Source organism: Homo sapiens, chromosome 1 (assembly GCF_000001405.40).
Source record: "Homo sapiens chromosome 1, GRCh38.p14 Primary Assembly".
NCBI lineage: Eukaryota > Metazoa > Chordata > Mammalia > Primates > Hominidae > Homo > Homo sapiens.
Window position 1 is genome coordinate 144576051 of NC_000001.11, and position 24729 is coordinate 144600779.

The 24729-nt window shown below is 35.6% G+C and overlaps 1 protein-coding gene across 1 annotated transcript; it reads left to right on the plus strand.

Annotated features, from left to right (window-relative positions):
* Positions 1-16842: 16842 nt before the first annotated feature.
* Positions 16843-17602, plus strand: PPIAL4F (peptidylprolyl isomerase A like 4F). Its single transcript, NM_001164262.3, has one exon. The coding sequence runs from the start codon at positions 16893-16895 to the stop codon at positions 17385-17387; it is 495 nt and encodes a 164-aa protein (NP_001157734.2). The 5' UTR covers positions 16843-16892; the 3' UTR covers positions 17388-17602.
* The last annotated feature ends 7127 nt before the right edge of the window (positions 17603-24729 follow it).

Consider the following 24729-nt stretch of genomic DNA (forward strand, 5'->3'; position numbering starts at 1 on the left):
TAGCTTGATGGGGATGGCATTGAATCTATAAATTACCTTGGGCAGTATGGCCATTTTCACGATATTGATTCTTCCTATCCATGAGCATGGAATGTTCTTCCATTTGTTTGTGTCCTCTTTTATTTCCTTGAGCAGTGGTTTGTAGTTCTCCTTGAATAGGTCCTTCACATCCCTTGTAAGTTGGGTTCCTAGGTATTATTTCAAATATTATTGTAAAACAATGAGATATTGAAACATACATTGGAGCAAACTCTTCTTCATTTTTAAATCCTTTCAGCACAGAGACAATCAACTGACTGTCTGGGTACTACCTGACCACTATTGGAGTCTCTTTCATCTGCCTGAGTCTGTGCAACAATATGAAATTATAATTTTACTATGCACCTAAACGTTCCTCAATATATTGAATTCTTACAGAATTTGAAGAGTCAAATTTTGTAAATCCAGTTACCTTTTTCCACTACTCTAGGCCTCATATACTATCTGGCCTAAGGGTTAAAGGTCCACAATTGAATAAGCCAAACTTGTTAATTTGAAGGTAAAGCATGTCAAGAAATCTGGCCTTAATGTCCAATGAACTTATGTCATATTAAGTAGCTGGATAGAAACATGCATTCCAAAGTGGATACTGTTTATCAGGCTCAGTGCTCTATTCTTGATGGTAAATCCCAGAATAGGGTGGATGCTTTAATTTTGTATTAAATAGTATTAGGTGTAATATCAAAACCACTAAGGGAACACTAATGATGAGAATAGGAACACTAGCTGTGGAGCTGGTAACTTTCTATAGAAATCCTATCTCTTTCAATTGCCTGTTTAGTGGGCAAGTGTTTCAGTTCCTATAATATCTAAATTGGAGAAAATCACCCCACCTACTTCTTCAGGTGTTATGATAATTATGAGGGATAACATCTTTTTAAGTGTTTAACACAATTCCTCACACATAGAAAGCAATAATAAACATTGGCTAGCATTGTAAGGATGGATTATTGTCTTCCAATGTGTTTTCATACATTTTCTTTCTGGGATCTTGAGTGAAACATGTGGATCTAGAACAAGAACAAAATGATGTTACCTTGATGATCTCTATGTAGGGTCACACTCAAGGCATCTTAAAATATTTTGCTGGCCAACAAAAGACACCTCCTGTTCTAATTGGGCATTGTCCTTTTCTTTAAACTATGCAGACAAACAATATTATAAAGTGAGAACATCCGCATAAAAAACCTAAACATAAATCTTAATAGTGAGTTCATGAAAATTCTTACTGATGAAATGGCAATGTCACAGACTGACTGTTTATGTCCCCCCAAATTTGTATATTGAAATCCTAACCCCCAAGCTACTCGTGTTAGGAGATAGAGCCTTGGGGAGGTGATTAGGCCATGAGGACAAGATTCTCATGAATGGAATTTGTGCCCTTATAAAAGAGATCCCAGAGAGCTCATTGGCCCCTTCCAAAGTATGGGGATACAGCAGGAAGTTGCCATCTATGAGCCAGAAGGGTGAACCTCACCCCAGATGCTGAATCTGCCTTGATATTGGACTTCCCAGCCTGCACAACTGTAAGAAATTTCTGTTGTTTATAAGTTACTCAGCTTGTGGTATTTTGTTACAGCAGCCTACACAGACTAAGACAAGTAGCATTTTGAGGATTAAAATTTCTTCATAAATGAATAGAGTATGCCCTGTTAAACCATATTCTCAGCTAACCCCGTTTACTCACTGTTCCTCTTTATTTTAGTTTCACATTTTTGCTATTTATCTCTGTAATTTTATTCATTCTTCACAATTTGCCATTCTTATACTTCGAATCATGTTATCAGTTTATAATACCTCCATCAAATGATAGTCTGCATTTGTTTATCCTTGGCTGATTCAAAACACTTGGCATAATTTCCTTAAAGGAAATCATCTTCATCCCACCTCACAACACTGTATTATTTTCAATTAATTTCCAATAAACTCTTAATTGTCCATGCTCTGTCAGAGTTGGCAGAGTTAATCCCTGTTTAAGCTAATAGGTTCAACTTCTTCAACAAACAAATCTTTCATGAAAGCTGCTGACAAGCCAGAGTATTAATTAAATCTAGTTTCATTGCTTCTCACTTTCCTTGATCCTTCTCTCTTGTTCTTTGGGAAACAGTCACAGAGTTCTGGCGCTAATAAATACTATAAAAAGTAGGAAATACAGTCTAAAGAAGCAGAATATTCTGTTTAAAGTTGATGTGGTGCTTTTTGTGCACCAAGCATTGGCTCAAAAGCCTGAAAATTAGGCAGCAATACTTCCTAAGCTCATCTTCAACCATAAGGCAGAAAAGCCAAACATATCTGAAAATATAATATCACTGGTACCTTATACCAGCACTAAGAATAAGAAAACCCTGGAAAGTGGCTCGAGTACAGTATTTTTCTATTGGAATTAATTTTTCAAAATGGAAAGGACTTCATTGTTATTTTTATTATAAAATTAGTATATGTTTATTATTAAAAATAAGTACAAAAATCTCTAAAAGAAAAAGGGAAAAATTACCAGCAGTTCCACATTCCAGATATCATCACTGTTAGCATTTAGGATACAAATATCCAAACACTTTTTCTATCAATACATTTAATTTTTAAATTTGACCATTACGCAATGTACACATGCACTAAAGCACCACACTGTACCCCATAAACATGTGCAATTATTATGTCAATTAAAAACAAAATAAAAGCATTTTACAAAAAATCATGTTATTTTTAATAACTTGTTTTTCTAATTTTATACACCATAAAATAAATGTCTTTACATGACATTTATTTTATGATAATAACTAATTTATTCATTTAAACAGCAAGGTACATTTCATTCTACAGATATACTATATAATATTTACTCCGATCTCTGGATGAGAATTTATGTTGCCTGTAAATATTGTATCACAAACATTATAAGAATAATCTCTGTAAAGGTTTCCTTCCTGAATTATTATTTGGGTAGAAAAATTACTAGAAATAGAATAACTGGGTCAAAGATTAAAGACAATTTAAATTTCAATATATAGAATCAAATTATTCTCCAAAATATTGTACTCTACAGTATTTGAATTTTGATTTTTTTCTCCATTTTCACTACTGCCAATAACTTTAATCTTTGTCGATAAATGAGACAAAAAAGACAAATAATGCAATATTATACAAGGGAGATTAATAGGTAGAAAAAGAAATGCAATGGCCAGGAGTAACAGAAGATGTTCAACATCAATCCAATCAAATTAATGCGTCTTTAAAATGCAATAGCAGTCAATGTTAGCAAGAGTGTAGGTATTAGACATTCTCATAGGAATATAAACTAGGGCCATGTTTTAGGATCATATTAGATCGCAGCAATTAAAAAATGTTAAATTCATATGTTGTATAGCAACTTCTCAGGTTGGAATTTATCACATGGAGAATCTTGTAAAATACATAAACCAAGATATGTTATTAATGTTATTGGTAGCCTATTGTTTTAATAAAAAATATATTTATACAATACAGTTGTTAAAAGTTAAGAATATCTTGAAGGTAAATTATTAAACAAAAATAGAATGCCTAGGCCAGGCAAGACTTCATCTCATGCTTATAATCCCAACACTTTTGGAGACTGAGGTGGGAGGATTGCTTGAGCCCAGGAGTTTGAGACCAACCTGGGCAACACAGTGAGACCTCATCTCTAGAAAAAAAAAATACAAAGCCTAGTTCTGAACATCCTTTTGTGTAATACTAAAAGATAAAATTTTATTTTCTACCTTGTTTAAGATCTATATTCTATACGGGGGATGTGTATTAAGGTCATTTTTAAAAAGATACTCAAGAAATTGTCAACAGTGATTATCTTAAGGAGAGATTCTAGATGTCTGGGGGTAAGAGACAGGAGGAAAGAGAATTTTATATTTCATTTTTACCTTTATTTAACTTTTTGATTTTCTTACTGGGTGCATGAATTATATTTTTATGTCAGCATGTTTTATCAGATAAATAAAATTATGAGCTATTTCTGTTTTCTCTCATTTGTTTTATGTTTAAATAAAGGAAAATGAGATATGTCTTTTTAAATTAGATAATCTTGAGTCCATGATTATTATGAAAGCCCTCTGTTATCTTTTTCCTTCCTTTCACAATGACTATTTATGTTGTAGAATCATTAATTTCTCAAGACAAATGTCTTAGAAGGTAGATACAAAAAAATGGTATACATTTTTTGATTCAAGCTAATTTCATGTTACGAACAAAATTACGTAATGTCATTTCTAAGACCTTTCTGTGATCTATCAATCCACTAGGTTAAAGAGCAGAAATCACTTCCAAAACAAATCCTTTTGCAGTCAGCAAAATGAAGCAATTATATGAATAAGTTTTTCCACTTGGCCTATTTTTCTACCCATGGTTATTAATCAGTCTCACTGACTACATTTTCCGTTTTACATCCCCTTTCAGGCACTACTGCAGATGGCCAAGCATATCACATTATGTAAATAAAATAAAACAAAATCTTTTCCCATTGAGCAAATGGATATACTTCACCTCTAATGCTTCCAGTCTTTCTCAGATCATTCAAAAAGCATGATATGGTTTCCATGAAAGGACATTCATCCCATTTGACTAACTGGAATTTCTTTACTCCAGCTAATCTTTACCAAAGAGCTGAATTAATTCAAGTTGACACCCTGTTATCTACCAGCTCTTCCAGCCCTTTTGCTTGATTGTTTTGTCATTTTGCCTTTTCTTTTCTTCTAAAGTGGGAGTATGGAGATTTACCCTTCTGAAACAGCTGTGTCACATCATGATCCTTGAGAATATCAGCTCTTAACTGGCTGCACATCAAAATCACTGTTTCCTTTGACCAATACTCTAGACACACTCAAGCAGAGATTCTGGATTCTGATTTAATTGACACAGAGTAGGGCCTGGGCATTTTTACAGCTCCCCACATGATTCTATTGTGCCTCATCTATCCTAGCCCTTAAGCAGGACCAAACATTTGTTCTATCTTAATTATTATTCTCTTAAACTTAGTCCAATTCCTTACAACTGATAGCTTTCTATATACTCATCTGCCTTGAGTGATGACAATTGATATGGTTTGGCTGTGTCCACACCCAATCTCATCTTGTAGCTCCCATAATTCCCACATGTTGTGGGAGGGGCCCAGTGGGAGATAACTGAATCATGAGGATGGGTCTTTCCTGTGCTGTTCTTGGGTTAGTGAGTAAGTCTCATGAGATCTGATCATTTTTAAAATGGGAGTTTCCCTGCACAAGCTGTCTCTTTGCCTGCTGCCATCCATGTAAGATGTGACTTGCTCCTCTTTGTCCTCCACCATGATTGTGAGGCCTCCCCACCCATGTGGAACTGTAAGTCCATTAAACCTCTTTCTTTTGTAAATTGCCCGGTCTCAGGTATGTCTTTATCAGCAGCATGAAAACAGATGAATACAACAATACTGTAACAAATCGACTCACATCTGTTCTCTTTATAGGAATTGCAGTGCTACAATATTAGTGGCTCTTAATTCTAAGAGTGTTAAAAAATATTAATGCTTGTCTCACCCCTAAAGTCTAGGGTGTGACCTGAGTATTAGGTTATTTAAAACTTTTCTCAGGTAATAGACATGTGCAGCCAAGGTTGAGAACCACTCTATAGGGCCAAGATATGTAAGAAAATTCAAGTCCTTTAGCTGGGCGTGGTGGCACACAGCTGTAGCCCCAGGTACTCTGGAAGCTGAGGTGGGAGGATTGCTTGAGCCCAGGACAGAGAGGCTGCATTAAGCTATGATCACATCACTGCACTCTAGCCTGGGTGACAAAGTGAGATCATGTCAAAAAAAAAAGAAAAAGAAAGGAGAAAGAAAGGAAGAAGAGGAAGGAAGGAAGGAAGGAAGGAAGGAAAAGAAGAAAGAAAGAAGAAAGAAAGGAACAAAGAAAGAAAGAAAGAAGAGAAAAAGAGAGAGAGGAAGAAAGAAAGAGAGAAAGAAAGAAAAGAAAAAGGAAGGAAAGAAAGGAAGAAAGAAAGAAAAAGAGAGAAAGAAGAAAGAAGAAAAGGAAAGAAAGAAAGAGAGAGAGAAAGAAGGAAAAGAACGAAAATTCAAGTCCTGCCTTGTAAAATGCAGTACTCCATTTTCCCAAAGAGATCCCAAGGGAAACTTAACTACAGGATAAAGACAGACAAAAGGACATAAATTACAACTACTCTAGGTTCACATATTATTTTGTTTCTGAAATGGGTTTTAAAATATCTATGTCAGAGTTCATTTCTAGAACTTTATCTCTAGAAAACATATTTTCACTTCTCAATACAGGAAAATGGAGATTGGAAAAATGAGTTTGGAAAATGATTTCCATGCTTATCTCTCAGCTTCTTTTTTCAACTTCCCTTTTTCATCTCCGTATCTTCACTGATACCTAGGAATCTCTGTTACATCACAGTCTTCAAGAGCTTTGCTCACAGCGAATTAGTTAAGACATTAGCTTTCAAAAGTATATGATATTCTCTCACAAGCATTTGTCTACTTTTAATAGGGCAAGCTACGTAAAGATGTTAAATCTCATTCCAGAAATACCACATCTATTCTACCTATTTATGAGAACAGTCGTCTCTAGACCAAGATAGAAATTCATAGTTAGGAAATAAATCCCTGTAGGGTTTTTCCACAGTCCCAATATGTCCCCTACTGTCCCGATTTTAGCAACAAAAATCCCCCATCCAGAAAATCCTTCATTCCTGAGTAAGTTGAAAGATTGGTCACCCTATTTCTATCTGTGTCTCTTTCTTTCATAATTGGCTCATAATCATAGCAGTCACAATTTTGAAAAATGTTATTTTACTGAATTACTCATTGCTGTTTTCTCATTTTTTAAATAATAAACACTTATTAAGAAACATTGGAAATATACCAAAAATAGTAAACAATAAAACAGAAACCATTGGCAGAAATAGTCACTATTAAAATCTTAATATACTCCCTTCCAATGTTGTTTCTGTTAATGCAAATTAAAAAATCAGAGATTCGCCTCTGTGAACTAGATCTCTTTTTACCTTTAGATATTATTTGACAAATACATAGCTCAATCATCTATCCAAACTTCTCTTTTACAGACTCCATGCCAATTAACCTTCTCCTATGAAACTATTATTTCTTCACATAGGATAAATATGGTTATTGACACACAAACTTTCTTAGTTACACTGCAATCCAGTTGTGCGTTCCTAAATTTATACCAATTGGATTTAGAATGATCATTACTAAAGAGGCTTGGCCTTATCTCTTGCAATTTGCTTCTTCCTTCTTAAATTCAATTCTTGTAATGTAACTATAATTTGGGGGTATCTTTTTGCCTCATATTCAAATTCTCTTTCAAACTGAGGTACATTTCTGTATTTCTGTATTTGTATATTGCATATAATAGTATAGAAAACAATAATGAGATTATAGTGTACATAAAAGTTTTGAAGTATAATTAAATATTTAATATATAAATATATTAAATATGGGCTGCTGACTCACCAAGCCTGGTTTGGCTTCCATCACTTGTGTAATCAATCACCTGTATTAAATCACCTCTGCTTGAAAGACGAAGAATAGTTTCTGATTTATAAGCAAACACTGAAAGCTCTTCTATTTCTTGTTTGCTAAACAAGATTTGTCAAAGTTAAATATTTTATTTTATTGAATTCACTTTTTGCCTCTCCTACAATGATGATTTGCTTTTCCTCCTTTAACTTGTTAATGTGATGAATTATACATAGTTTTTTTTTTCTATTGTTAGAAATCCTTGCATTCATGGAACAAACACAATTTTCATACTATATTTTTTATAGACTTCTAAACTTAATTTGCTAACTTTTAATTTAAAATGTTTGCCGTTAGGTTCATGAGGAAAGTTGGCATGTAATTTTCCTGTCTTACACATTTCTCATATAACATTGGTATCAAGGTTGTACTGGCCTCATAAAATGAACGAACAAATGGACCTTTTTTTATTCTGGAGTTGTTTTTATAAAATGGAAATAATCCATTTCTTGAAAACATTTGATAGAACTCACCAGTAAAAATGTCTGGGCCTGCTGGTTCTCTTCTTCTAAGAAGAATTTGGAACTTATAATTAAAGCTCCTTTAATGTGTTAGAAAACTTTCCAGGTTTCCTTGAACATTAATAAATTCCAATGACGAAAAGCCCTCAGATATTAAATATAACCTTAAATATAACCTTCCCCCAATTCAATTTTTCTTTTGCAGATATGATTAGATACTCTAATTTTTCAACCTCTATTTCACATATCCATTTTCCTTTCCTCCTCTGTACTGTCTTCAGCATAATTTGTTTAGTCTAACTTCCAACTCACTTATTTTCTTTTTGGTTCTATCCAATATTGTGTTTAACCTGTCCATTTAGTTTTTAATTTTCATTATATTTTTTATTTCTAAAAGATCTCTTAAATTCAGTTTCAATCTGCTTAATATAAGATACATACACTGTCTCAATTTATATTCCTGGCACACCTCATTGATTTTTTAAACATATTAAACACAGCTTTTATAGTTATATAATCGTCCTAATATCTGAAATCTTTATGGGCATAATTCTGTTTCTGCTCATGATGTTTATTTCCTCATGAGTTTTGTAAGAGTCTTACTTTTTTCTCATTTTGGATGAAATTTTACCTGTGGCCATTCTTTGAGACATGGGCTGAATGTGGGTTTCTCCAAAGACACTTTGCCTTCGTCTTGTGTTTGGTGGTAATACCAACATGGGATAACTATAAAATAAATTATCAGTTTCATGTGTGGGTTTTTTTTAACTTATACTTACAGTGAAAATTTAAACCACAAATTCATGTGAAGATGGCCTTCTCATTTTTCCTCTAAATAGCACCGAGTTTGAGGCAGGAAAATTTCCTGGTTGTCTCCCCCTGAGGAACAGGTTTTTATCTAGTTTATCCTTTCCCTGAAATTATAGTCCTTCGTATCTCTGGCTTTCAGCAGTTTTCTCCTGTAAGACTGCTATACTGGGCAGGCACTAGGTTTTGTCTCACACTCTCCCATATCCCAGGTGGTCATAAAAATTGAAGCTCAGGGTACTAGGGCCAGGACTGTCCTTATGGAAGCTTCTGGTTTGGGGGTCTGCATACCTCTCTGGATTTATGTATTCTCCTTATGCTTGGCCTATGTGGTTCACCTTAATTTCTATTCAAGTCAGTAATATACTTTTGAAAAATGACATGTACATTTTATCTGGTATTTGTAGATTTCATATAGCAGGATAGTGATTCAGCAAATTTAGTCTACCACAATGCTGGGAATAGAATTCCCCTAATTTTTGAAAACATTATATTAAATCATGTTTATTGCCATTAATAGTCTTATAAATGTGCTTTTAACTAACTGCATTTTGTCATAGCTCATTGTGATTGTATATTTAACTAGTTCACCCCTACCTCATGTTTTTTGGGAGTGAAGGTTGTACTCAACTCATTAAGTTAAGTAATACTACAGTAAACATCAATCTATACATGCATTAATAATGATTTCCAAGAAAGTAGTGACACATGGTCATAATCATCTTTGAGGCTGATGGTACATATTTTCAAATTGCATCTCAGAAATAATATACCAATCTGTGCTCTAATCAGCCGCATATGAAAGTGTCATCTTTCTGTTCTCCAACCAATACAACTACTACTGTTTTTATACCTGCAAATCTGACAAAGATGTGAGAAGGCATCTTATAGTTTCAATTTGTATTTCTTTGGTGACCAATGTACTAAATTACTCAATGTACTAAATTACTCTTTTCCTGTTTATGATCCATTTCAAACAAAATGTAAACCATTTTTTAAATTTTTTTATATTAATGCAAATCGTAAATCACTACTTTATTTATTCAACTTCCTAAGCAAAATTATATGTTGTCCCATTTATACATTTTATATTAGATCTTTCTGCCTTACATTTATAACCTAAAAAATGTCAGAATTATATAATAATGATGAACAGTTGATTATAAATAATGTCTTTATTAGGATATTTCTCCATAAATCTAAATTTCATCAATCTTTCTTTAAATATCTCTACACAATGTCCTCTTGTATTATATTAATAATTGCAGATACACTTCTTTTTGCTATTTCTATTCTTTCCTATTCCTATTGTCTGTTAGTCTCCCATTTTCTCCCATAAAATAAATAAAAATTTTTCTATCAGATTCTGTGATATATTACTTCTTATTCCCAGCCTTCAACATTTTAAGAATTCATATTGACCTTTTCTCCCATTCTTATTTCAAGTTATCAGCATGTTGATACTTGGGAAATCCCATCAAGTGTTTAACAGTGCATACCTTACTGATTCATTATTTATTTCAATTTAATCTTTCTTATTTTCATTCAACTTTTTTCTCAGTAATACAACTTTTTCAAGCTTTTTATTTTCTAATGCATTTCTCCAAATAGCAGCCATAACCCTTATATGCCCTCTTTCAATGACAACAACAAAAGTGTGCTAGGCTTCTTGGAAGAAAATAATGATACCAATTCAAGAAGGAGAAAATTGATGTACTGATAAACAAATGGGCATCTTAGGATCATGTTTCTCACAAGTAAGGCAGTTCCAGAAATTCCTAGGACCATAATGGGTTTTATTCTAAATAGGTTAAACATATCACTTAAAAAATTGTTTTCTACAGTTCTCTAATATTGCTTACAATTGTCCACGTTTCCATGTTTATAAACTTGCACTTTTTTTTTTTTTATGGAGTTTTGCTGTTGTTGCCCAGGCTGGAGTGTAGTGGCGTGATCTTGGCTCACTGCAACCTCCACCTCCCAGGTTCAAGCAATTCTTCTGCCTCAGCCTTCTTAGTAGCTGGGATTACAGGTGCGTGCCACCACACCTGGCTAATTTTTTGTAGTTTTAGTAGAGACGGGGTTTCACCATGTTGGCCAGGCTGGTCTCGAACTCCTGACCTCAGGTGATCCACCCGCCTTGGCCTCCCAAAGTGCTGGGATTACAGGCATGAGCCACTGCTCCCGGCCTTATACTTGCACACTTTTTAATTCTAAGACCTTGCTACTCAGTGAGGGATCCTGGGACTAATACCATCAGCTTGACTTGAGGCCCTCTTTGAAAGCAGACTCAGAATCTGTAATTTATCAGGATCCCCAGGTAATTTGTATGTGCAGTCTAGTTTGGTAGATCTGCTCTGGCAGACTGGAAGACTCTTCTATCTGCCTCATGTAAGGTGCAGGTGACATAATTAGGTAATCAAGCAAAAGATCACATATTTTAATAAGAAAGAGACACTGGCTATTATTTTGAGTGGCAAAACAGGTTATTCAGTCCCAGTTTAAAATGGAAATGACAGAGACCAAGATGAAGATTTTTAATTTGAGATGTGCCTGCGATGCAATTACATTTGCTGAATGAAACTGCTTCAGTAATTAGATGCAGGTTTCTTCTCTCTTCTTTTTGAGATGTAAAGAAGACACAATAGACTCATGGAACTTAAAGAACTAGACGCCAGCTAACAAAACATGCTATCCAGGCTCTTTCGTTTCACCATATTGCTTTCTTGAAAACATAGGACAGTGCCAGTTTAGCACTGAAAAAAATCAGTTCTCCTAATTCTAAAAAGAGGAGACAGCCAGGCGTGGTGGGTCACTAAAAATACAAAAAATTAGCTGGGCATGGTGGTGCATGCCTGTAATCCCAGCTACTTGGGAGGCTGAGGCAAAAGAATCACTTAAACCCGGGAGGTGAAGGTTGCAGTGTGCTGAGATAGCGCCATTGCACTCTCGCCTGGGCAACAAGAGCGAAACTCCGTCTCAAGAAAAAAAAAAAAAAAGAGAGAGAGAGAGAGAAACTGTAATTTCATTTCAGAAGTTTTATAGGGTACTATTTCCAATTCTTTTTTTCTTACTCCATTAAAGTGTAATTAGCAGTATGTGAAAATTTCCACTTTATCCTCAATCAGAAGCCTCTCCTTCCAATTAGCATATATTTTTTCTATTAACTTTGTAAAGTGGGATTCTTGTTTTATACATACCCCTGGAAAGTATACTTAAACTGTGAGACCCTGGGATTTTATATTTCCAAATAGAAGATACCATCCTCTTGTATCACAAAATGTACCTAAGATGGTTTGGATTATATTTAAATATTCTTGAATGAAATAGACTTACTGACTGAAGCCAATTATTATATTTTTCCACACCAAAATAAATGCAATAGGAAAAGATGACAGTTCTATGTAGTATTCCTGCTTCCATATTGCACAAATTAGAAACATACATATTCCATTATGTTACAGGGTCTAGGGCTTTGGGAGGACAAGGCTGCAGGCAGCCGAGATTGTGCCGCTGCACTCCAGCCTGGGCGACAGAGTGAGATCTTTTCTCAATAATAATAATAAAAGTAAAAAGAAATATAATATTTAATCAATATATGCACACACATGGGTTTATCATGACACACACGACATGTGTGTACAGTGAAAAAAATGAGTAAATCTAGAAACCTGTATTGCCTCAATAGCTAGCTAAGTACTTCAATATGCATGTTTATTTCAACAATTTTGTGTTAAGCTTCAGTGGTAAATAAGCAGAGTACACTGACCATAATGAATACTTCTTTTGATGAGGGTTATCACTACACAATTAAAATATTACATAGTTGGCTGGGCACGTTGGCTCACACCTATAATCCCAGCACTTTGGGAGGCCGAGGCAGGCAGATCACCTGAGGATGGGAGTTCAATACCAGCCTGACTAACATGGAGAAACCCCTTCTCTATTAAAAATACAAAATTAACCAGGCGTGGTGGCACATGCCTGTAATCCCAGCTACTCAGGACGCTGAGGCAGGAGAATCACTTGAACCTGGGAGGCAGAGGTTGTGGTGAGCCGAGATAGCGCCATTGCACTCCAGCCTGGGCAACAAAAGCAAAACTCCGTCTCAAAAAAATATATAATAATAAATATATATATATTATATATAATCAATATAAATATAATATATAATAAATATATAATATGTATTATACAAATAATAAATATATATATTATATATAATAAATATATCATATAGATGATATAGTTTAGAGTTAAATACTGACTGCTCTTGGGAACTTTGAGGTATTCTGAGGGATATAAATAACACGAAGAGAATAGCACATTGGCTTGAAGCAGATTAGAGTCTGCTACCTGCGTGAATACTTGTTTTTCATGAACTATGAGGATGCCCTTAGCTTTTGAACCACTTCTACTTGTGTTGAAATTTACCCTTTAATTTTGGGGTTTGACAGGCTCTGCCCTTCTGTTATGCTTGAGTCTGGCTTTTCCTACTCTGACTCACTTTGATTCTTGACCTCTGAATCTTATTCCTATTTTACAATAAACACACATCGCACATACGCCAATTAGTAGAGTGGAAGAGGGAAAAATTGCCAAGGAACTATGTTTAATTTTGTTCCTTTCGCAAACCAGACACCATAACAGAAAAATTTTAGGAACATGTGCATGTTCAGTAGCCTTCAATGCAATTATACTGGTTATTAAAAAGTGTTGGATAATCAATATTTTTTAAAGATTCACTAGTCCCTTCTGATAATTTTAGAACTTTGGGAAGTAATAATACAAATGTATTTTTAGCTGTGTCCTTTAATCTTTTACTGTTTCCTCTATGTGTGGTGTTTGGTTTGTGTGTGTGTGATAATTATTATAAAGATCAGAGGCTAACAGAGGTGTTAATCACGAACTTTTAAATTTTTTTTATTTTTATTTTTTTAGTTTTTTTAAGAGACAGAGTCTCACAGTGTTGCCAAGGCTGGATGCAGTCGCGCCAACTCAGCTCACTGCAACCTTCGCCTTCAGGGTTCAAGCGATTCTGCTGCCTCAGCCTCCCAAGTAGCTGGGACTGCAGGAGGGCACCACGATGCCCCACTAATTTTTGTATTTTTAGTAGAGATGTGGTTTCACCATATTGGCCAGGCTGGTCTTGAACTCCTGATCTCATGATCCGCCCACCTCAGCTTCCCTAAGTGCTGGGATTACAGGCGTGAGCCACCGCGTCTGGCTGCATGACCTTTTAACTTGTCTCATACACTCAATATTCTCAAGATATACCTTCCAAAGTGCAAAATTATGGCACTTTGCAGCCCTGACCACTAACTGAGAACTTTGATGCTTTGGATTTTGGAGACCTCATTTTATCACCTGGTCCTTTTACTTCATGACTTGTCATGCTGCCACCTTTTGATGGGATTGAGATGAAGATAATAATTCCCAACTGGTCAGGAATATTGTGCCCCTTTGTTTTTATATCCAGATGCAATAGAGCCTCTGACACACCACTACTATTGTTCTTAGGATTTGGAACAAAATGCATTTCTTTGACAAAATAAATGTTTTCTTTAAAGAACTCTTGATTGATCCTGGACCATTGTAGAAACTGAAGTCCTATCAATGCAAAAAAATATGACAACATGAGCTGCTTATCATGAAATAAGTGTTTTCCAATTAACTATCCTGCTTCATCAGCAGGTAGGAATAATAGAATCTATACCTATGTCTTCATGGGAAGTTCTCTATGGCCAGTTGATTAGTGAGGGAAAAATTGAGCCTGATTTACAGAAGTCACTGTACAACATCACAGCAGCAGCCAAAAGTAGATTGCTTAGGCATTATAACCTACGTGAATGCAATTTTAAAAGAAATTCAGCCTATGTAATTGGTTGTCCACGATGTCTAGAAGGAGAGATATTATTGATGTATATGTGGCAGCTAATAATTTGTCTAGATAATTAGGGACTTGGGGCCAGGCCTGATGGCTCACACCTGTAATCCCAGAACTTTTGGAGGACAGGACAGGTGGATTGTCTGAGGTCAGGAGTTCGAAACCAGCCTGGCTGACATGGTGAAACTCCGTCTCTACTAAAAATACAAAAATTAGCCAGATGTGGTGGTGTGTGCCTGCAATCCTAGCTACTTGGGAGGCTGAGGCAGGAGAATCTCTTGAATCCAGGAGGAAGAAGTTGCAGTGAACCAAGATTGCACCACTGCACTCCAGCCTGGGCAACAAAGCGAAACTCTGTCTCAAAAAAAAAAAAAAAAAAAAGAAAAGAAAAGATAATTAGGGACTCGGAAAGACAAAGACTGAAGGATTGGTGGCAATGAGTTTTGGGGAAAAAATATGTAGATGAACCACAGAAAATGAGCCAGAGTGTAAGAATATTTGTGCTTAATACGAATGCTCACCAAACTATCATCAGGAAGGTTATCAAATAGATATGAAGGTATGAAACAATCTCTTTCACCAGGCACTACATTGCTTGCTTAGAAGGCTAATAAACAGCAACATTGGTGGTAGCAGTAGAGAATACACATAGGTTTAGCAACATGTTGGACTTTACCACTCTCGCTTACAAAAGCCTATTTAGCTGTCAAGACTATTAGGTGTCCAACACACAAGCAACAAAGTCCAAGGCTAAGCACACAATAACATATCCTGGGTGAATAAACCAGTCACCTTTTGTCAGACTTGTTGATTTTATTGGAACTCCTCTATGATAAAGGCAACAAGGAATTTTGTAAATGGAATCTACCTTTAACCTTGAATTACATTTGCTTTACCTGACATCATTTTTCTCTGATCGCCACTCTCCACGGGTACATTGAATGCCTTATATATACTGCCATAATATCCTGTTCTACATCCTTCTCTTAAAAGAACTTGTTGTATAACAAATGAGTAGATATTCATTGGACTCACCTGGTCCACCATTTATCCTATCACTAACCAAAATTATTATTATTACAGAATGGTGAATATTTTATTAAAGACTCAATCACAGTGCCAGCTGGAGACAATGGCTTATAAGGTTGTACTCATGCTAGAGGATGTGGTGGTGTATCCTCTGAACTAGTAACTAAGTATAAGCTTGTCTGGTGTCTCCTATATAAAAAATACAACAATCTTTGATATTTGTTATGAATGTTGAAGTGACTCCTTTTGTCATTACATCTAATGATCCACTCCAAATACTTGTCTCTTGTCTCTGAGATTCTAGGTTTTTGCAGAATTAGTACCCAAAGGGAGAGTCTTAGCAGTATTCCATTTTACAATCCATCCTTCGTTAGAGGATGAGAGACTTCTATCTAGCCTTTTAGGTTGCCTGAGACCTTTAAACAAACAGTCAAAAATTTAAAATTTAAAATGCGGCTACACTGTGGCATGGGGTAGTAAATCTTGACCTTAAAACTGGTATTTGTAAGAAAAACAGAAAGAATTCAGGGATCCCCTTTGATGGCTCCTAATTCTATACAGTCCTGTAAATATTCCTGAAGACTAACCAGGCATGGTGGTGCACACCTGTAATCCCAGCTACTCCAGAGGCTGAGGAAGAGAATCACTTGAACCTGGGAGGCGGAGGTTGCAATGAGCTGAGATTGTGCCACTTCACTCCAGCCTGGGTGACAGAGCAAGACTCTGTCTCAAAAAAAAAAAAAAAAAAAGAAGAAAGAAAGAAAGAAAGAAAGAAAGAAAGAAAGAAAGAAAGAAAGAAAGAAAGAAAGAAATGAAGACTGCCACAACTTGGAAGCAACCAAGATGTCCTTCAATAGGTGACTGCATAAGCAAACTGTGGTATATTCCTACAGTGGAATATTATTCAGTGCTAAAAGGAAAAAACTATCAAGCCACAAAAAGATACAGAAAAACAAAGACATTTTGCTAAGTGAAAGAAGCCAGTCTGAAAAGGGTACATACTGTGATTTCAACTATACAACACTCTGGAAAAGGCCAAACTATAAAGACAGTGAAAAGATCAGTGGTTATCTTTGCAGACGCCACCATCGCTGTGAGCCCTGTACTATCAGCCATGGTCAACTCCGTCGTCTTTTTTGAAATCACCAGGGATGGCAAGCCCTTGGGCCGCATCTCCATCAAACTGTTTGCAGACAAGATTCCAAAGACAGCAGAAAACTTTCGTGCTCTGAGCACTGGAGAGAAAGGATTTCGTTATAAGGGTTCCTGCTTTCACAGAATTATTCCAGGGTTTATGTGTCAGGGTGGTGACTTCACACGCCCTAATGGCACCGGTGACAAGTCCATCTATGGGGAGAAATTTGATGATGAGAACCTCATCCGAAAGCATACAGGTTCTGGCATCTTGTCCATGGCAAATGCTGGACCCAACACAAATGGTTCCCAGTTTTTCATCTGCGCTGCCAAGACTGAGTGGTTGGATGGCAAGCATGTGGCGTTTGGCAAGGTGAAAGAACGTGTGAATATTGTGGAAGCCATGGAGCACTTTGGGTACAGGAATAGCAAGACCAGCAAGAAGATCACCATTGCTGACTGTGGACAATTCTAATGAGTTTGACTTGTGTTTTATTTTCACCACCAGACCCATTCCTTCTGTAGCTCAGGAGAGCACCCCTCCACCACATTTGCTTGCAATATCCTAGAATCTTTGTGCTCTTGCTGCAGTTCCCTTTGGGTTCCATGTTTTCCTTGTTCCCTTCCATGCCTAGCTGGATTGCAGAGTTGAGTTAAGTTTATGATTATGAAATAAAAACTAAGTAACAACAACAACAACAAAAAAGCTCAGTGGTTGCCAGGAGTTTGGGGATGGGTAGGGAGATAAATAGTTCTGAAACAGGCGATTTTTAGGGGATTGAAAATACGTTGGTAATAATGTAATGATGGGTACATGACATTATGCGTTTTGCAAAACTCCTAGACCTGTACCACACAAAGAGTGAACTCTAATGTAAACTGGGGGTGGGATAAAGGTGACAGTATGTGAGAACTCTGTACTTTCTGCTCGATCTTTCCATAAAGCTAAAACTGCTCAAAAAATAAAGTCTATTATTTTGTTAAATGAAAGAAATTAACAATGACCATGGCACGCTCACACAAAAAGATTATCAAGGACATTTCTCTGTCAGGAATGAATATTTGGTCATCTCACAAGGCAAAACCCTGACTAGCAGAGGTGTTAGCTGAGGGCACATGGCCATAGATGCCAATAGTGACCTGCTGGCCACTTGCAGAAAGGAGAGCCTTTACATCCAAACACATTGTTTCTCTTGTATTGTCCTGTGCATACTTATGTATCTTAACAACTTTCCTTCTTTCCTCTCCATTTATCCCTCTTTTTAAAACAGGGCTTATTGAGGGTGATTAACTTAATTTTTAAATGATATATGGCAGAATGTCAAGAGAGTATAGTGAAGAACTTCGTAGAGGAATGGACATAACCCAGAATTCTTAGACTTAGAGTACATGCTGTGATTGAGAATTTTTTATTGTTTCATTGTTCAAGAGATTGTAGGTACATGTTCAATTATTAGAGAAATAGTTGCACTCTGTTAGAAGGAAGCTTGGGTCTTTCGTGTTTACTTTCAAAAGGGAAAGTTTATATTGATATTGAGCAAGTTAAAGCATGAATATTTACTATTTGATGTTTGTTCCTGTGTTTGAGGAATTCCTCAGCCTCTCAGTTTTGACGAAAACAAGAAACCACCTCCTGCTTTAGAAGCTAAAATGTCAAATGCTTGCTTTCTCAGCCTCCTTTGCAGCTATCTGTTGCAAAGCGAACAAGTGGGAGTGGTGCTGGTGGCTTTGCAGTTAGCCTAGGATTGAGCAATTGCTGCAATTGTTGCTCTCTGCATCTTCGGTGTTACTTCTTACTGGTGGTGACAGTGGTTTCCTCCCTGGATGAGTTCTACAGCATGGTTTGGGGTACATTTCCTGGCTGCCTAGCTTTGATCTGGCTCTCTAGCCTTCTCAACAGTTCTACAAGTTCCCCACTATTTCTGTGATAAACCTATTTATTGTTAATGTCAGCCATAATTGGCTTCTGTGGTTTATATTTTTTAAAATTCCAAGATATACCAATGTAACAGATAGCTCAACAAACATATGTCTTTTTAAATTAAGATATATTCTGTGTCACATGAAGTACAATGGACAAAATGCAACAAATTGAATTGAGCTAAAGACCAAATATATATTAAGCCTGGCTGGTCTTAAAAATGTAACTGGATACAGCCAGGCATGGTGGCTCACGCCTATAATCCCAGCACTTTGGGATCCTGAGGTGGGCAGATCACCTGAAGTCAGGAGTTTGAGACCAGCCTGGCCAGCATGGTGAAACCCCATCTCTACTAAAAATGCAAAAATTAGCTGGGTGTGGTGGTATGCCCCTGTAATCCCAGCTACTCGGGAGGTTGAGGCAGGAGAATCACTTGAACCTGGGAGGCAGAGGTTGCAGTGAGCCCAGATCATGCCAATGCACTCCAGCTTTGGCAACAGAGTGAGACTTTGTTTCAAAATAAAAAAATAAAAATAAAAAAATAAAAACGTAACTGGATAGACCTAAGGATCTTGAATAAGCAGAAAATAATTTAGGTAAAAGCCAAATAATAAACTAACATTCTGAAAGGTTTAGGATTTGGAGGCCCAAATGTCTTAGCTAAAAGTGTTCATTCTAACCTCACAGGAAAATTGAAATATGAAAATATACAGAAAAATCTTAGGCAGTATTTATCAATTTTAAGAAACAACTATTTACAGGTTTTTCAATAGGCATTACATTAAAAACAAAATATATAGTTAATAAATATGAAAACTGTGGATATAATCAACACATTTATTTTACTTCTTGAAGTGTTAACATGTGCTGTCTCAAATATCAACAGTGTACACGTGAGAAAAAACATTTTACATAGATTTTCTGCGACAGAAAACAGCATCTCATTAGACATCCCAAGTTTTTTTCATTTGGAACACACACTCATTCCCCAGTATACTAGGGGTAATAATAATTTAGAGTTTAATTACTTTTTACTACTAGAAAACTAATTTTATGTTTGGCACAAATTTCTGAAATGATATTCCACTGCAAAGAATAATACCTATATATGGCCAGAATTACTTTTTTTCTATAACATTAAGATAATACTTGTCAGCCTGAGCAACAAAGTGAGACCTCATCTTTACAAAAAATAAATAAATTAGACGGGTGTTGTGGTGATGAGGGTCTGTAGTCCCAGATACTCAAGAGGCTGAGGTGGGAGGATCCCTTGAGCCTAGGAGGTCGCGGTTGCAGTGAACTATGATTGCACCACTGCACTCCAGCCTGGGTAACAGAGCAAGATCCTCTCTCAAAAAAAAAAAAAAAAAAAAAAAAAAGATAATATTGGTATAATTCAGGGTTTTTGCCTCAATCCCCATGCTTCTTCATTTGACCTTCCCTGACTCCCTGATGAATTTTAGTTTGAATTTTTGCTATAGTCCAGAAGTTAATTTAAAAGATCTTAAAATTTCCACCTGCCTAGATATTACTTATTTGTTACACTTTAGTCCATGATTTCTATTGTCATTTACATTACCCCAAAAATATGACCTGCTGAATTTCTGCTGTCATGAATTGACTAACATATTTTGGGCCTAAAACCTTTACATTTAGAATCTTTTTGTTTCGTATTGGAAAATATTGTAAGTCCTCCATTTATTGGTCAAAAGCACTGCCTATTTATTTCCATGCTTAATCAGAGAGACTTTCTAATAGTTATTTAATATTATTTACGTTCATTCACTTGTTGACTATAATGACGTTAGTTGCTATGATATTTTTAGGTCATTAATATAATAAAAATATGTCAACTTTTCTCTTCTGATGTGTCTTTGGGTTATTAATTTTTAACTCAGGTATCAAGCTTGTAAAATGTTTAATGGCTTATAATAATGTCTAACACATAGTATCCACTGAGTTCTGATAACTCTGGTTTATCAAATTCTCTTTTTTTGTACCATTCTCCAAATGCAATGCTATTTGGTTTTATTTTTATTTTTTAAAAATGTGCTGCCTGTTTTGAGTCTCTAAAAGTGTGAAATGCTCAGCATTTCCCAAATGTATTTGAACATGGAGTGTTATATTTACTAAAAAGTTAACAAGCAAGTATTCCCCTAAACACTCTAGCAAATACTACTAGTACAGACAAATTATGATGTAACATTATAGTACATTTTAACTTATTAGGTTAATTTTGGTTGCAAACAATCAAAATTCAAAATGGCTTGTATAATAAAGAGATTTTGAACAATAGTATAGGCTCAAGATAGCTTAATGCAGAAGTTTAATAATGACACAAAATAAATGCTTCTTGTCCTCCCTGTTTCTTCACTCTACCTTAAGTGATATAGATTGAATGTTTGTAGTCCCCCAAAATTTGTATGTTTAAATCTAATCCCTAGTGTGATGATATTTGGCAGTGGGTCTTCGGGGGGTGATTAGGTCATGAGGACAGAGCCCTCATGAATGGGATTAGTGCCCTTATAAAAGAGACCTTAGAGAACTTCCTTGCCCCTTCCTCCATGTGAGGACACAGCAAAAAGACAGCTGTCTGTGAACCAGGAAACAAATCCTCATTAGACCCTGAATCTGTTGACACCATGATCTTGGACTTCCTGGCCTCTAGAACTGTAAGAAATAAATTTATGTTGTTCATAAACCATCCAGGCTGTGATATTCTGGTATAGCGACCTGAAAGGACTAAGACATTAGGTCTCAGTTTTATTCTATGGCTTAAAATATCATGTCATGAGTAGACAACTTCCAATCCTAGTACCTCGTGCTTCCTCTGCTGCATTTGGAAAGAAGGCATTTCCCTCTTCAATCATGGAATGAAAAAGTTGTACTTCATTCTGATTTGATTAGCAGAAGGCACACGTTCCTTCCATGCACCAATTAAAATGACCAAGAATTGGGCATGGGACTCATGTCACTTAAACATTGTGAAGCTGAGAAATTCATTATTTGGTTAGGAGTGTGTGAGAGCAGGGAACACTGAATGCTTGAGACACCACCACGATGTCCACTACATGTATTTCCATTTCAGTAAACATTTCCATTAAGATAATGCTAGAACAAAATCAGAGGAGTAGATCTTGGTGTCCCCAACTTTTGTTGACCTAACAAAGTGAAGTTGCTTCAACTGGACACTTCTGAACCACATTTATGCCTATATGTTCAGTTCAAATTTATTATAAGCAATTTTCAGGTCCATATGTTTAGGATATTTCATTTGTTTGGTTATGCATTATATGTATACATGTTTTTAACATACATACGCCTCTACATATATTTTGGAGGCCTTTACACAAAAGTGTTTTCCCTGAAGGGAGAAGAGAAAAGTTGAATGCAGAAGTAGAAAAAAAAAATTCATTTGCACTTGTAGTAGTTATATCTAAATATTTTATATTACAGATGTATTAAAATTTTTATAATTTTAAACACTACTTTAAAACAGGGAGATGGTTTACCTTCAAAAAATTTGGCTCTCAACTCAAAGTTATCAAAGTATATCCTAGATGTAGTTTGCTTGTCAGGCTTCTACATGAAAATCTAAAATGCTCCTGCATTTCAGAATGAGCCTAACATATGTAATTGCACTCATCCACTATGTCTACATTGCCAACCAAATACTGACAGAGAGAGCTAGAGTGCCACAGAGAGCTGGCAGTTCCTCTGTTTGCATTAGCTTCTACTTGCTTCTTCATCTTTCCTCTATGTCTGACACATTTCATGTTACTGTTTTTAAATGTTCCCTTAGCTACAGAGCTAATGTGCTTATATCTGTAAGGGGTCTCATGTGAACCTCTAAATAATTAAAGATTCATTAGCTCCCTGGAGGGCCACCATGATTTCCAAAACAAGTCACAATACCTAAAGATCTAATTGTACAATTTCCCTCAGAAATAGCCTTGAGAAAGAAGTCACATCACTCAGCAATGAGTATTATAATTACTCACAGCAGTTTTCATGGTACTATATAACATCCAATTTACAGAATTAAAGGTAATGTAATTCAAAAGAAAAATAGCTGGTTTTAAGGAATGAAGGGCCATGTCAACTATTGGAAGCATCTTTGAACTGGAGCCTCTATGTTCGGGTTTCACCAGGTTTATGTTTTTAATTAATATCTGATTCAGCTTCCTGTAATTTCCATTGAGGTTTTCTAGAACAAGACAAGTCAGAAATTGATCTTTAATTATAAGCTAAGAGCAAACTGCCAAAGAACTGAGAGAAATTTTGAAGAAACAGGTCTATCAGGACTAACCATTTTAAGATAATAAAGACTAATCAGACACACACACATATGCACAAAAAGAGGGAGAGAGAGAACAAAAATCCTATGAAATACATTTTAAAAACTTAATTTTTTTAAGAAGAAGCATTTGATCTGCCAAAGAGAAGAGTTAGCAGTTTGGAGATCTGACATTGCTAATCTCAGGGCAAGAAAATAACAAAATAAGACACCAAAGAATTACCTAAACTGTGGAAGATGAAGCTTTCAGAGTTCTCACAGAGAAATGGGATACTAAAGTACCAAGTTTAAGAGGTGTAATCTATTAATGTTTAATTTATGTCCCAAATACTTAAAAACTATGTTTCATTGTTATACATATTTATTTTATTATAAAGATAATGAATGCAGTAGGGTTAGATTTAAATAATTCATTGGGTTTAAAATGAGAAATGAAAGTCTGGCTTTTTACAACCTACAGTCTTATCACCAAAGTTAGCTATTGTTAATAACTTCTTGTCCATTCTTGTATGTGTTATGGTTTCTTTCTTAGAAAGAAGTATGCTATACTAGTATACATGCTATTTATTCATGAACCTTGCACTTATCATGTAATCATATGTCTTAGTGGTCTTTTCATAATAGATGTCTCTCTTTCCCACGCTGTCAGTGGTGATTGCATGAGGCATTGTACAGACGTACCAATAATTACTTACTCTGTGTCATATTGTTGGTTATTCAGATTGTTTTCACTTTGCCCTTGCAGACAACACTGCAACGAACATCCTTATGCATATCTTATTCCAAATACATCATCGTGATGGCTGTGTGAGAGAAATATACATTGTTGATTTTATTTTTTTATTTTTTATAATTTCAACTTTTGATTTTAGATACAGTGGGTACATGTGCAGGTTTGTTACATGGGTATGTTGTGTAATGCTGAGGTTTGCAGCATGATTGATCCGATCACTCAGGTACTAGGCATAGTAGTTGTTTTTCAACCTTTACCCCCTCCCTCCTTCTACCCTCGAGTAGTCCCCAGTTTCTATTGTTCCCATCTTTGTGTCCACGTGTACTCAATGTTTAGCTCCTGCTTATAAGTGAGAATATGTGGTATTTGGTTTTCTATTCCTGTGTTAATTCGCTTAGCATAATGGCATCGAGTTGCATCCACGTTGCTGTAAAGGACATGATTTTATTCTTTTTTATGGCTGCAAAGTATTCCATGACATATATGTACCATATTTTCTTTATCCAATCCACAGTTGATGGGCACCTAGGTTGATTCCATGTCTTAGCGATTGTGAATTACACTGCTGATTTTAATAGAAACCACTAATTTTTATGCCAAAAAAATCATCAATGTGCACATGCTCCAAGGCTGTGTGAGCATAGCCCTTTTCCTTGGGATGTCAACAACACTGGGTTTTATCAAAATATAATTTTTGCCAATTTATTAGTTAACAAATGCTAACTCAGTGCTATTTGGATTTGAACTACCACTGGTGCTGAGCAACTTTTTACATAGTCACTGGCAATTTATTTATCTTTCTCTGTTGTTTATCTTTTTCTGTGTAATAATTTTCCCTATCTTCTACTCTTTTAAACATTAAGTTT

Coding starts and splice junctions, on each gene's coding strand:
- PPIAL4F (NM_001164262.3), top strand. CDS start 16,893: ATGGTCAACTCCGTCGTCTTTTTTGAAATCACCAGGGATGGCAAGCCC.